This window comes from Homo sapiens, chromosome 20 (assembly GCF_000001405.40).
Source record: "Homo sapiens chromosome 20, GRCh38.p14 Primary Assembly".
Taxonomy (NCBI): Eukaryota; Metazoa; Chordata; class Mammalia; order Primates; family Hominidae; genus Homo; species Homo sapiens.
Genome location: NC_000020.11, coordinates 5,416,004 through 5,430,846, shown reverse-complemented (window position 1 = coordinate 5,430,846; position 14,843 = coordinate 5,416,004).

Below are 14,843 nucleotides of genomic sequence, written 5' to 3'. Positions count from 1 at the left end.
AGGTAGCTACTCCCTGCCAAGGTAACCACAGCTTTCTAACAATAAGTAAAATGTTTCTACTCATATCATAGGGACCCTACAACAACATGGCCCTTTTCTCTCTGCCATGCAAAAAAGCATCAAGAAAGTAAGAAGGGGCATTTTTGAGAACAAACTAGAAATCTTAGCATCATGTCTTCTCTCTAATTATGTTGGAAACAGGCTTTGAAAAAGAAAAAAACTGAGGAGAAGATCACTAAATAGAATTCAATAAAAATGGCTTTTGATATTCTGTAGCTTGAAAGCATTTGTATTGGGTTTATGTTCTCATGGTTTTTGTTTCAAAGAGTTTAAGGTAAATTTGAATGTCCCATTCCTCTGAGAACTCAGAGAAAGCCAGGTTGATTAAGAAGTAATTAAGAGGCTGGGCGCGGTGGCTCACACCTGCAATTCTAGCACTTTGGGAGGCCGAGGCGGGCCAATCACCTGAGGTCAGGAGTTCGAGACCAGCCTGGCCAACATGGTGAAACCATGCCTCTACTAAAAATACAAAAATTAGCCAGGCATGGTGGTGCATGCCTGTAATCCCAGCTACTTGGGAGGCTTAGGCAGGAGAATCACTTGAACCCGGGAGGCAGAGGGTGCAGTGAGTTGAGATCGTACCATTGCACTCCAGCCTGGGTGACAGAGCCAGACTCTGTCTCACACACACAAAAAAAAAAAAAAAAAAAAAAGTAAGGCCAGATTCAAGCTTACTTCTTAGGAAAAAAAAAAAAAAAGGTAATTAAGAACAGGTAGACATTTTAGATAAACTAGCTAATTAGCATTCATAGTTCCTTAAGTTTTGCTCTAATAGTCTGTTATGTTTTGCAAGTATATGATGTGCATATGTAGATATAGTAGTTTATCATTAAGCCTCACCTCGTGATTATTAAATGTGATACTTTGCTCTTTTAATACTTGCAGTTCCTATTTTTAATGTGCAACAAAGTGCACAATTTTCCTTTGGTTCCAGGGAATTTGGTTAATGGAAACTCAGCTATTTTTCCCTAAGTCCCTTTTAGTCACACAAAGGTAATTCACCTGAATTTTCAGTAAATCTCACGGGAGAAAAGAATCAACTTTGGTGGTTCTCAACCTAACTTTTTTTTTCCCCAACCCAGTTTTTGTTCGGCCTCCACCGCATTTACCAAGTAGAGTAGCAACTGTGGAACTATTGCATTCTTTCTACTGAAAAGATACTATTGAAAGGAGACAGAACTTGATCTATAGAAAAAGGGAAATCATTCTTTGGGTATGGAGGCCAAAGGAATTTCAAAGACTACAACCTGCTATTAAACTGCTATATAAAGAGAAGAGCAAGTATTAAACAGAACCCTGAGACACTCGAATTTAGGAACCCGCATTGACCTTACCCTACAATTATTCCCCAATGAGGAGTGATGAGTGGCAAATGACAGTCCCTGACTGGGAGAAAGAGGCAGGTTCAAGACATAGTCTCCCTTATCCTGGTATCCTCATCTCTAAAACATTCACTATTCTTTTTTTTTTTTTTTTTGAGACAGGATCTTACTCTGTCACCCAGGCTAGAGTGCAGTGGTGGGATCTCTGCTCACTGCAACCTTCACCTCCGAGGCTCAAGCTCTTCTCCTGCCTCAGCCTCCTGAGTAGCTGGGAGTACACTCACCTGCCACCATGCCCAGCTAATTTTTGTATTTTTTAGTAGAGATGGGATTTCACCATGTTAGCCAGGCAGGTCTCAAACTCCTGACCTCAGGTGATCTGCCCACCTCAGCCCCCCAAAGTGCCGAGATTACAGGCATGAGCCACTGTGCCTGGCCTAATACTCACTATTCTGTCTCTCTCACCTTACGGGGTTGCTATGAAGTTTAGTGAGTTCAGGTATGTGACTCTAGAGGGGGCTGAGTATGTATAAGGTAGGGACCATGTTCTTGATGACTTTTGCATCCTCCCAGCACAGCTTTTGTGGAACTGTACTTTAGCTCTGTGATGGCACATGTGAAATGAAATAAATGTACACAATAAAGAAAAACACAAATGAATGTAAGACACATTTTCCAGTTCAGATTAATAAGAAGAGGCTTAGTTCTCATCTCCTTCCCCCAAATTTGACTTTACAGGGTTGCTTAGACTCAGTGGTGTGCTGGAGCAGGCTCCTACCAGCTAGAAAGAACCAGTTCAATACGTCTCTTCTCAACTCCATGTTCAGAGTTGTCAGGTTGGTAGCTTGAAACTGGCCATGCTGGAAGTATTTACAGCATGAAAATTGGCAGGTGCTACATATTATGGCTTTTTTTTTTTGTTTCAGAGAACCAATTGTTAAATATTTACTGGCACTCCACTGCTTAGATTTTACCAGTGCTTGTAAGTAATTTTCGTTTGATTTTACAGACTATGGTATCCATGAGTGTTACGGTTTTAGGGGATATGGAGTGAGCTGAAAACCAAAAGAAAAGCTCCATTCATTCACTACTCACAAATGCATCTTTGCCACTTCCCACAGACAGTATGGAGACAGACATGGTCTTAGGTCCATTCGCATTAGTCACCCTGCACAGAGACTGTGGACTGTAGTGCGTGCCTTGATTCTAGTGAAGGCCTCCTAAAGTCACAACTCTGAGAGGAGATTTGAAGCTAGGAGACCTAGGTTCAAGTTCCTTCTGAGCCATTACCAACTGTGTGATCTTTGTCAAATAATCTGATTTCTGTCATTTGAGCTGATTTCTTTGGATTGCTCATTTGTAACATAGGATAAATACTTATTTCACAGGCTTGTTAGAATAAATGGGATATTGCATGTAAAACACTCAGCATGTGGCCTGACCTATAGTGACCTCTAAATAAAAGAAGGGCAGCTATCCATCAAATTACCACGGTCATCCCAATGCTCGTCATCATGAAGGGATCATGGGTAGTCACCATGGTTCATAACTATCCGTGAAAAGGCCTTCTAAGGTCACAGGTGATTGAACCATGGTTTACTTACTCCATCTTTTTGTTTGTTTGTTTGTTTGTTTTTGAGACAGAGTCTCCCTCTGTCACCTAGGCTGGAGTGCAGTGGCATGATCTTGGCTCACTGCAACCTCCACCTCCCAGGTTCAAGCGATTTTCCTGCCTCAGTCTCCTGAGTAGCTGGAATTACAGGCACCTGCCACCACGCCCAGCTAATTTTTGTATTTTTAGTAGAGACAGGGTTTCACCCTGTTGGCCAGGCTGGTCTTGAACTCCTGACCTCAGGTGATCCACCCACCTCGGCCTCCCAAAGTGCTGGGATTACAGGTTTGAGCCACCATACCTAGCCTACTACATCTTTATAAATCCCTGATAATCTTAGATTCTCTACTGGAGCCAAGAAATCTCTTTGGGCTCTCTTTTCCCTTGATAAAGCTCCATAGAACAACCAGGTCAAACAACAGGTCAAATATTAGCATTTTATAGCTTTTAAATATATCATCCAATTAATTTAAAAACCATCATATCTCACTGTTGCTTAATAAGAAAAAGGAACAGAAGGAGGAGACCAAAATATTACCAAATATTACTAAGATGGAGCGTGTAGTTTAGTGCAAGAACTACATGGGCCTGCTTAATAGGACCTCAGAATTGGACAGACTTGATCCCCTCTCTCAGGCAGTGCTAACCAGGAGCTCATCCCTGGAGGAGAGGCAGAGAATGTGTACTCCCAGATGCAGCCAGCTTCCAGAAGAAGAGGTAGGAGCCAAGCAGAGCATGCCCACATCAATCTTCCAGCATTTAATGGCCATAGAAGTTACTGAACCTCCCTTGGATGGATAGAAGATGGCATTATCTTTCTTAAATATGATACCTCTTATCTTTTTGTTCCCTTGACACTTGAGGAGGGAGGCCAAGGGTTGATCATGCAAGCAAGTTTGTGCATTTTGCACATTTATTAAGTTATGCTTTTGAGGAAATTAAAAGATCACAAGGGCTTCAATTTTCTGTGACCCTTTTATTTACTTATTTCAAAAAGTGCTCAATGGGAAATGCCTACGTATTCTCCCCAGTGCTCCCATGTGGGGATATGTCCTCAGTCCAAAGATATTCCTCAGTCTAGGAGTTCACAGTTGGATGGTATAAACAAGTGTATTAACTCATCATTACAAGACCAAGTGACAAATGCTGTTCTGAAATATGACTAAGGGGCTATGGGAGGATACTTTATCTAGGAACATCTGAAAAGACTTTTCAAGGGAAGTCTTTAAGGATGAGCAGGCCTTTGTCCATAAGAGCTTTCTGTAGCTTCTAAATAGATGGTGATATAGATACATCCCAACATTTTTCTCCATAGGTGTGTTTCACTGGAAGTTGTAGGGGAGAGCTCCTGTTAATGTCTCTTTACCTTTCATCTCAGCCCTGTGTCCTACTCCATTTGTCTTCTGATAGCCAGTTATAGATAAACTATTAACACTCCACACTCTGTGGCTGCCAAAGCATTTGAATGAAAAACCAACATTTCAGGAAACCACAGTGGGTCATGGAGGCTTCTATTTTACCTACGTTGTACCTATCAAAGTGGTTTCCAGTCCTTTAGTTCAGGGGTCCCCAACCCCCATGCTGTGGACCAGTACTGGTCTGTAGCCTGTTAGGAACTGGGCCACACAGCAGGATGTGAGTGGTGGGCGAGCAAGCATTACCACCTGAGCTCCTCCTCCTGTCAGATCAGCAGCAGCATTAGATTCTCACAGAAGCACAAACCCTATGGTGAACTGAGCATGCAAGGGATCTAGGTTGCACGCTCCTTATGATAACCTAACTAATGCCTGATGATCGGAGGTGGAACAATTTCATCCCCAAACCATCCCTCCTACCCCCATCCCTGCCCCCATCCCAGTCCATGGAAAAACTGTCTTCCACAAAATCAGTCCCTGGTGCCAAAAAGATTGGGGACCACTGCTTTAGTTCATTTGACTCTTCATTTCCCCAGTAACACAGGCAAGACTGACATCCATTTGCAACCCCCAGTGCCATGCTGCCCATCTCCAGGGTGCAGTCTGTGTTGTGTTGGGCAGTGCCACCATGGATTGCTGACCAAGGAAAACACTTTCCTTTCTCTTTGCCACTCAAACCATCTCCCAGAGCCCCATGCTGCCTTTCCATCCTCATCCAAGATGATTCCATGACCCCTACCCCTACTCTTTCCCATACTTCAGACCCTCTCTAGGAAAACCCATCTTTCTACTGTCCCATTCTTTAGGACCCAACTCTCTGTAAGAGATGAATGAATGCATGTCAAGGGGTTAGTGAGTTATTAACAAGTTGGTCCTTTTCAGATTAATCTGGTATTTTACTTGGGCCTTCCTGGAGGCTGGACTTTAACCCAGAGAAATGAGTGAGGCGGGAAATTCCAGTTTGGGAACTGACAGCCTAGGCAGGGGTGATGGTGGAGATATTTTGGCATAGGAGGGTATTTAGGGCATCTGTAGCCTCCGATTTTACATAGTCATAAACAGGAGACTTGGACATTTAGCAGGATTATAGTTTGGGTCTCCTTAACAGGAGCCAAAGATATATTTGCAAACTTATTGAATACACACACACAGAGACACTGACAAAAATATTAACCTGACTTTTTCTAACTAATTATGTCTATATGGAGGTGGTTCAAATGCTGGTAGAAGCATAAAAGAGTGATATGATTTTTGTCTGCCTTTGAAGGTGGGTTTAATTGGTTATTTGTGCTGAGTCTGGATTGCAGGGGAAATAAAATTTGGATTTTCATCTACATACGATTTTAGTCTCTACATATTACAATAAAAGGTTGGGATTTGTCTTCTTTTTTTCCTTTCCCATCTTTTGCAAACAAGTTGCAAATGATGGGAAGGAAGCTCTCAAATGATCTTTCCAATTTCCAGTCATCATATTTCCACAATTCTATACCAAGAATAGATCTGGATCTTACTTTTCTTAAGGTCTGGCTTTAAATTAAAATATCCCGAAAGGCTTATAATAAAAAACCACAGTCTCCTGCCTCCAAGTTCTGCTCCCCAGAAACATTTACTTTTAACTCTTTTCATCATTTCTTCTGGTTGTTTCCCGCATTTAAAAAATAACATAATTGAGTCATAATTTTATGATTTATCCACATTAAACTCTATTAGCTCCCTGTTATGCCAGGTGAGGAGTTAACTTTATATATCCCCCAATCCCTTCTTCTCAAGGTAGTTATATTAATACCATCTTTTAAATTATTTGTCAATATTTATGTTATTATGATTTGAAAAATATTGTTTATGGCAAAGTTCTCAGTGTACTGTGAAAGCATTTCCTTTCTTAGGTAGCTTCAGAAAAGTGGTTGTAATCATCTTTTTGAGTGGGATATCAAGACCCTTGCTGATATAGACACCTTCTCCAGAGAGAAAACCCCTCAACTCTTAAGGACATGCAGAGGCCTTAGGGCTGGTACACCAAAGTCTGACCTATCACTGTCGCTATGATCACTAGTTTGCATGCATAGCTCAAAGGAGGCTTGGTATGTCAGTTGTACCTAAGGAATGCTTTCTGTGTACATGTGTCCCATGCTTTAAATGTAGGCTGCAGGAGCAGGGTGTATGTCCTTGGATAAGCATGGCTTTCGGAGTCAAGAAGACCAGAGTTTAAATTATCATGGTAAGCAGAATACTTACCCCCGCAAGTGGTCCATGCCCCAGTCCCTGGAACCTGTGAGTATGTTATCTTACTTGGCAAAAGGGACTTTGCAAATGTCATTAAATTAAGGATCTGGAGATGGGGAGATTATCTTGGGTTATCTGGGTAGGTCCCATGTAATCACAAGGGTCCTTGTGGGAACTTTATAGGACCAAGGAAAAGGGGGAGGCAAGAGAGTCAGAGGAGATGTGATGACAGAATCAGAGACTGGAGTAACACACTTTGAAAATGGAGTGAAGAGCCAAGGAATGCAGGCAGCATCCAGAGGCTGGAAAATGTGAGAAAATGGATTATCTTTTACAGCCACTAGAAAGAACAGAGCCCTACTGACCCCTTGCTCTCCCACTGCCCTAAACCTCCACCTTCCATGATGAGGGGCCCAACCTGAGAAACTGAGGTCCATTGCCAAACAGCTGCACATGCAGCTGGTCTGGGAGTCAGAGATGCTGAGGGGTGACCCAGCAGGAGCTGCAGCAGCCACAACCAGGAGGCTGAGCTTATGGACAGGTAAGCCAGCAGGTGAGTGATGCCATGCACAAGCAGCAACAGCACACTGATCCCCTAAGAGTACTGGGAATATGGCTGCCATTTCACTTCCATCTTCCAAATCTCTCAGCACATCTCCTGTGGCCATGCTCACTTACACATGTGCAAGGAAGGTAATTCTGGAAAACCTACTTCCAGCTAGGTTAGGTTGACACAATCCAGATCTACCCATCCTGTGTGCAGGATTCTTCTCAGCATGATGCAGTGTGGTACTCAGCAACCGTTCTTCCATGTTCTGGAGAGCATGAAAGAAGTTAAGACAGGACCTCTGTTTTCAAACTGTCATTTGCCGTCTGTATTAGTTTGCTCGGCTGCCACGACAAAATGCCAAAGACTGGGTGGCTTAAACAACAGAAATCTGTTTCCTCACAGTTCTGGAGGCTGGAAGTCCATGATCAAGGTGTCAGCAGGTTTGGTTTCTCTGGGGTCTCCCTCCTTGGCTTGCAGATGGCTGCCTTCTTGCTGTGTCTTCATATGGTCGTCCTTTTATGTATGTTTCTGATGTCTCTCTGTGTGTCTAAATGCCCTCTTCTTTTATTTGTTTACTTATTTTTTGAAACAGGGTCTAGCTGTGTCACCCAAGCTGTAGTGCAGAGGTGTGATCATGGCTCCCTTGCAGCTTTGACCTCCCACACACAAGCAATCCTCCCACTTCAGCCTCCTGAGTAGCTGGGACCACAGTATGGGCCAGCATGCTCAGCTAATTTTTGTATTTTTTATAGAGATGGGGTTTTGCCATTTTGCCCAGGCTGAGCTCAAGCAATTCACCCACCTTGGCCTCCCAAAGTGCTGGGATTACAGGTATGAGCCACCACACCCTGTCCTGAATGTCCTCATCTTATAAAGATGTCAGTCAGGTTTGATTAGGGTCAGCTCTAACACCCTTGTTTTAACTTAATTACCTCTTTGAAGGTCCTGCCTCTAAATACAGTCATATTCTGAGTTACTGAGATTGGTGTTTCAACATACATAAGGATTTGGGGGAGTCACAATTCAGCCCATAACACTGTCCAATAAGCCAAGACTTACAAATAGGGTGATCACACATTCCAATTTGCCCACAGCAGTGCTAGTTTTCACCTGTTGCTCTGGTACAATTTTTAAAAAATTTTTTATTTCAATAGCTTTTGGGGTACAAATGGTTATTTTGTTACATGAATGAATTACGTAGTGGTGAATTCTGAGATTTTAGTGCCCCCATCACCCAAATAGTGTACATTGTACCTAATGTGTAGGTTGTTTTTTTAATCCCTAGTCCCTCCTTCCACCCTCCAGCTTCTGAGTCTCTAAAGTCCATTATATCACTCTGTATGCCTTTATGTACTCGTAGCTTAGCTCCCAGTTATAAGTGAGAACATATGTTTTTTGGTTTTCCACTCCTGTGTTACTTTACTTAGAATAATGGTATCCAGCTCCATTCAAGTTGCTGCAAAAGACATATTTCATTCCTTTTTGATGACTGAGTAGTATTCCAGGGTGTATATATGCCACATTTTCTTTATCCATTCATTAATTGATGGGGGCTTAGGTTGGTTCCACAGCTTTGCAATTGTGAATTGTACTGCTACAAAAGTACATGTACCAGTGTCTTCCTCTATAATAACTTCTTTTCCTTTGGGTACATATCCAGTAGTGGTGTCACTGGATCTAACGGTAGATCTACTTTTTAGCTCTTTGAGGAATTTCTACACTGTTTTCCATAGAGGTTGTACTAATTTACATTCCTGCTAGCAGTGTATAAGCATTCCTTTTTCCTCACAGCCACTCTAACATCTATTGTTTTTTGACTTTTTAATAATGGCCATTCTTGCAGGAGTAAGTTGATATCTCATTGTGGGTTTAATTTGCATTTCTTTGATGATTAGTGATGCTGAGCATTTTTTCATGTTGGTTGACCATCTGTGTATCTTCTTTTGAGAAATGTCTATTCATGGCCTTTGTCTATTTTTTAATGGGATTTTTTTTTTTCTTGCTGATTTGAGTTCCTTGTAGATTCTGGATACTAGTCCTTTGTCAGATGCATAGTTTGTCAATATTTTCTCCCATTCTATGGGTTGTCTGTTTACTCTGCTGATTATTTCTTTTGCTGTGCAGATACTTTTTAGTTTAATCAGGTCCCATCTGTTTATTTTTCTTCTTGTTGCATTTGCTTTTGGGGTCTTAGTCATGAATTCTTTGCCTAGGTTGATGTCTGGAAAAGTTTTCCCAATGTTCTCTTCTAGAATTTTTAGTGTCAGGTCTTGTATTTAAGTCTTTGATCCATCTTGAGTTGATTTTTGTATAAGGTGACAGATAAGGACTCAGTTTTATTCTTCTACATGTGGCTTGCCAATTTTTCCACACCATTTACTAAATAGCATGTCCAGGCTGGGCGCGGTGTCTCATGCCTGTAATCCCAGCACTTTGGGAGGCCAAGGCGGGGGGTCACCTGAGGTCAGGAGTTCGAGACCAGCCTGACCAACATGGAGAAACCCCATCTCTACTAAAAATACAAAATTAGCTGGGCATGGTGGTACATGCCTGTAATCCCAGCTAGTCGGGAGGCTGAGGCAGGAGAATCACTTGAACCCAGGAGGCAGAGTTTGCGGTGAGCCAAGATCACCCCATTGCACTCCAGCCTGGGCAACAAGAGTGAAACTCCATCCCAGAAAAAATAAAAAATAAAATAAAATAAAAATAAATAGTATGTCTATTCCTCTCAATTTGTGTTTTTGCATGCTTTGTTGAAGACTGGTTGGCTGTACGTATTTTGGCTTTATTTCTGGATTCTCTATTCTATTGCATTGGTCTGTATCTGACACAATTATTAATAGCATTCTCTTTCTCTCTTAAAAGCACCCAGGACTGAATAATAAATTGTGTGTTCACACTGCATCTATGGGAAACAGTTCTTAACAGCTCAGAGTGAACCATGGTGGAAAGATCCTGTATCAGGAGACAGGGCTGCTGTTCTAACTTGGCCACTAACCCGGGGAGACTTTGGATGAGTCCCTTCACTTCTCTGGGCCTCATCCAGAAATGAGGGGTTGGAACCAGAGCCATTCCCTGATTCACTAGATCATTTATTCATTCAACAGATCCTTTTTGAGCTTCCTACTATGTTTTGGATGTTATAATTTTGGCAGATTTCAATATTAATGACAGAATGTTCCAGCTTCTCCCTGCTTTTGTCTGCTAAACGGAATTCTGGCTTGGTCCATTAGGTCTATTCCTCCCCCTGTGGAAAACTAGAATATGTCACTCTAAAATGTGCCTATTTTGCATAAGAATTGTTGAGCTGCAGGCAATTAAGAAGAAGCAGATAAGGCCAGGCACTGTGGCTCATGCCTGTAATCCCAGCACTTTGGGAAGCCAAGACGAGCAGATCACCTGATGTCAGGAGTTTGAGACCAGCCTAACCGACATGGTGAAACCCCATCTCTACTAAAAACACACACAGAAATTAGCCAGGCATGGTGGCACACACCTGTACTCCCAGCTACTCAGTAGGCTGAGGCAGGAGAATCATCTGAGCCCAGGAGGCGGAGGTTGTAGTGAGCCGAGATCGCGCCACTGCACTCCAGCCTGGGTGACAGAGCGAGACTCCATCTCAAAAAAAAAAAAAGAAGAAGCAGATAAACGAAAGCTCTCCGGCCTTCCTCTAGTTTCCTAAAGCCAGATATAGATTTACAAAGACAGAAGATACTTCACCACTCACCCCCTCTTTACCAGGGAAAACGAGGTTAACCGCTGAAGACAACTTTAGACACTTACTGGTCTGGAGATGGTACCATAGGAATCTACACTAACAAGCTTTACCAACTGGCCTTTATCTGCTATTTGTTTGCCTTTCTACAATTTGCAGCTCCTAGAGACTTAAAGTCTTTCTTTTGTCTTGTCTCTTCCCTAAAAATTGACTATTCCTTGTTGAAGATGCTATATAAGCTGGAATTCAAAGTCACCTTTTCGGGTATTCAATTAGGAAAAGAGGAAGTCAAATTGTCCCTGTTTGCAGATGACATGATTGTATATCTAGAAAACCCCATTGTCTCAGCCCAAAATTTCCTTAAGCTGATAAGCAACTTCAGCAAAGTCTCAGGATACAAAATAAATGTACAAAAATCACAAGCATTCTTATACACCAGCAACAGACAAACAGAGAGCCAAATCATGAGTGAACTCCCATTCACAATTGCTTCAAAGAGAATAAAATACCTAGGAATCCAACTTACAAGGGATGTGAAGGACCTCTTCAAGGAGAACTACAAACCACTGCTCAAGGAAATAAAAGAGGATACAAACAAATGGAAGAACATTCCATGCTCATGGGTAGGAAGAATCAATATCGTGAAAATGGCCATACTGCCTAAGGTAATTTACAGATTCAATGCCATCCCCATCAAGCTACCAATGACTTTCTTCACAGAATTGGAAAAAACTACTTTAAAGTTCACATGGAACCAAAAAAGAGCCCGCATCGCCAAGTCAATCCTAAGCCAAAAGAACAAAGCTGGAGGCATCACACTACCTGACTTCAAACTATACTACAAGGCTACAGTAACCAAAACAGCATGGTACTGGTACCAAAACAGAGATATAGATCAATGGAACAGAACAGAGCCCTCAGAAATAACGCCGCTTATCTACAACTATCTGATCTTTGACAAACCTGAGAAAAACAAGCAATGGGGAAAGGATTCCCTATTTAATAAATGGTGCTGGGAAAACTGGCTAGCCATATGGAGAAAGCTGAAACTGGATCCCTTCCTTACACCTTATACAAAAATCAATTCAAGATGGATTAAAGACTTAAATGTTAGACCTAAAACCATAAAAACCCTAGAAGAAAACCTAGGCATTACCATTCAGGACATAGGCACGGGCAAGGACTTCATGTCTAAAACACCAAAAGCAATGGCAACAAAAGACAAAATTGACAAATGGGATCTAATTAAACTAAAGAGCTTCTGCACAGCAAAAGAAACTACCATCAGAGTGAACAGGCAACCTACAACATGGGAGAAAATTTTCACAACCTACTCATCTGACAAAGGGCTAATATCCAGATCTACAATGAACTCGAACAAATTTACAAGAAAAAAACAAACAACCCCATCAAAAAGTGGGCGAAGGACATGAACAGACACTTCTCAAAAGAAGACATTTATGCAGCCAGAAAACACATGAAAAAATGCTCATCATCACTGGCCATCAGAGAAATGCAAATCAAAACCACAATGAGATACCATCTCACACCAGTTAGAATGGCAATCATTAAAAAGTCAGGAAACAACAGGTGCGGGAGAGGATGTGGAGAAATAGGAATACTTTTACACTGTTGGTGGGACTGTAAACTAGTTCAACCCTTGTGGAAGTCAGTGTGGCGATTCCTCAGGGATCTAGAACTGGAAATACCATTTGACCCAGCCATCCCATTACTGGGTATATACCCAAAGGACTATAAATCATGCTGCTATAAAGACACATGCACACGTATGTTTATTGCGGCATTATTCACAATAGCAAAGACTTGGAACCAACCCAAATGTCCAACAATAATAGACTGGATTAAGAAAATGTGGCACATATACACCATGGAATACTATGCAGCCATAAAAAATGATGAGTTCATGTCCTTTGTAGGGACATGGATGAAATTGGAAAACATCATTCTCAGTAAACTATCGCAAGAATAAAAAACCAAACACTGCATATTCTCACTCACAGGTGGGAATTGAACAATGAGATCACATGGACACAGGAAGGGGAATATCACACTCTGGGGACTGTTGTGGGGTGGGGGGAGGGGGGAGGGATAGCATTGGGAGATATACCTAATGCTAGATGACGAGTTAGTGGGTGCAGTGCACCAGCATGGCACATGTATACATATGTAACTAACCTGCACAATGTGCACATGTACCCTAAAACTTAAAGTATAATAATAATAAAAAAAAGAGGCCTAATAGAAGAGGATGGAGTAAAACCACTTGTGGGGATAGAATGAGATGTGTTCACTAATGGGATATTAATATAAAACAAAAGGAATATGGTAATGCTGGAAAATGTATGAGATATAATGGGATCTTCTCAGTTCTTCTCTCTTTCTGGTCTTCGCGATTATCAAAGACATCTCTGCTACTGCTCTGAACCAGGTATTAGTGTCCAGCATGGGAGAGTGTGTTAACCAGTTTATTACTTTAATAATGCTGTGTAACAAACAACTCTAAAATCTCAGCAGCTTATAGCAATACATATTTAATTCTCTCTCACAGATCAGAAGGTTGACTATAACTCTGTGTGTTGGTTTTATTTTTTTATTTTGAGACAATGTCTCACTCTATCACCCAGGCTGGAGAGCAGTGGTTCAGCCTCAACCTCCTGGGCTCAAGCAACCCTCCCACCTCAGCTTCCTGAGTGCCTGGAATCACAGGCATGCACCGCCCCCACCTAGCTAATTGTGTGATTTTTTTTTTTTTTTTTTTTTTTTGTAACAGAGATGAGGTCTCACTATGTTGCCCAAGTTGGTCTTAAACTCCTGAGCTCAAGCAATCTGTCTGCCTTGGCTTTCCAAAGTGTTGGTATTACAGGCGTGACCCACTGCACCCAGCTAACTCTGTTGGATTTGACAGAGTGTGGCGGGGTTCAGCTGGGCTTACCTCCAGGCTATGTGTGGGATTCAAGCCTGCTCCGTAAGTCTCCTTCTTCTGGAGCCAGCAGCTATCTGAGACGTGTTCTTCTCATGACAGAGGAGAGGGCCGAGGAGGCCAAGCAAGACACCAGGCACACTTAAAACCTCTGCTTGCATCTTTTCTGTTCATGTGCCATTGGCCAAAGTAAATCACAAGCCCAAGCCCAAAATAAGGGGGAAAGGGAAGTTCACTCCACCATAGATGGGAAGGGCAGAAGGAGTAATTGCTGACCAATTAAACAATCCACCAAAGAGGGAAGTGTGAGGAGAAGGAGAGGAGAAAGTGGACTAGGAATGTCATGCAGCCATTCACAAAGAGCCAGCCCAGAGCTAGGGTGACCTTGGTAGACACTGCTGAGACCCTGATCTATGCCAGGCAATGCACTGCATACTGGGCATACAGTATCTGAATAATTAAGGAACAGTTTCTGGTGACTAAAATGTCATCAGACTGCATGGCCCTTAACAATGAAGTGATTTAAATGGGAGTGAGAGAACGGTGATTCCAGCTCCTTCACTGTTGGGTGTCAGCCACCAGCCCTTTGGCTTCCTACCCTCCCTCCAGGTGTCAGCTGCTTCCCAGTGCCAGGGAGTCAAGCATAGGGACACCAAGTAAGTACTCCCCACAAGATGCACGTGGCAATTAAGCCATCAGCCACTGCAGAAGCCTGCACTCGGTTGTGCTTCCCTCCAACAGAAAATGCATCAAATTACAGGGAAGGCTCCTGCCCCCTTCGCACTGTTATCCATGACACAGAAATTTGGCAGTGATTTCTCTGAGGAGCTAATTGCCAATGTTAGCACAGTAAATCAAAAAGCCATGTATGGATTTTGCCCAACAGACCAGACATAGCTCACAGCGCAGATCCTACCACACAGAGCAAGGTCTGTGGGATGTCCCAGGAGAATTGATGTTGCAGCCCAGATCCTTGGAGGTGTCTTACTTCATCGTGACTCATTC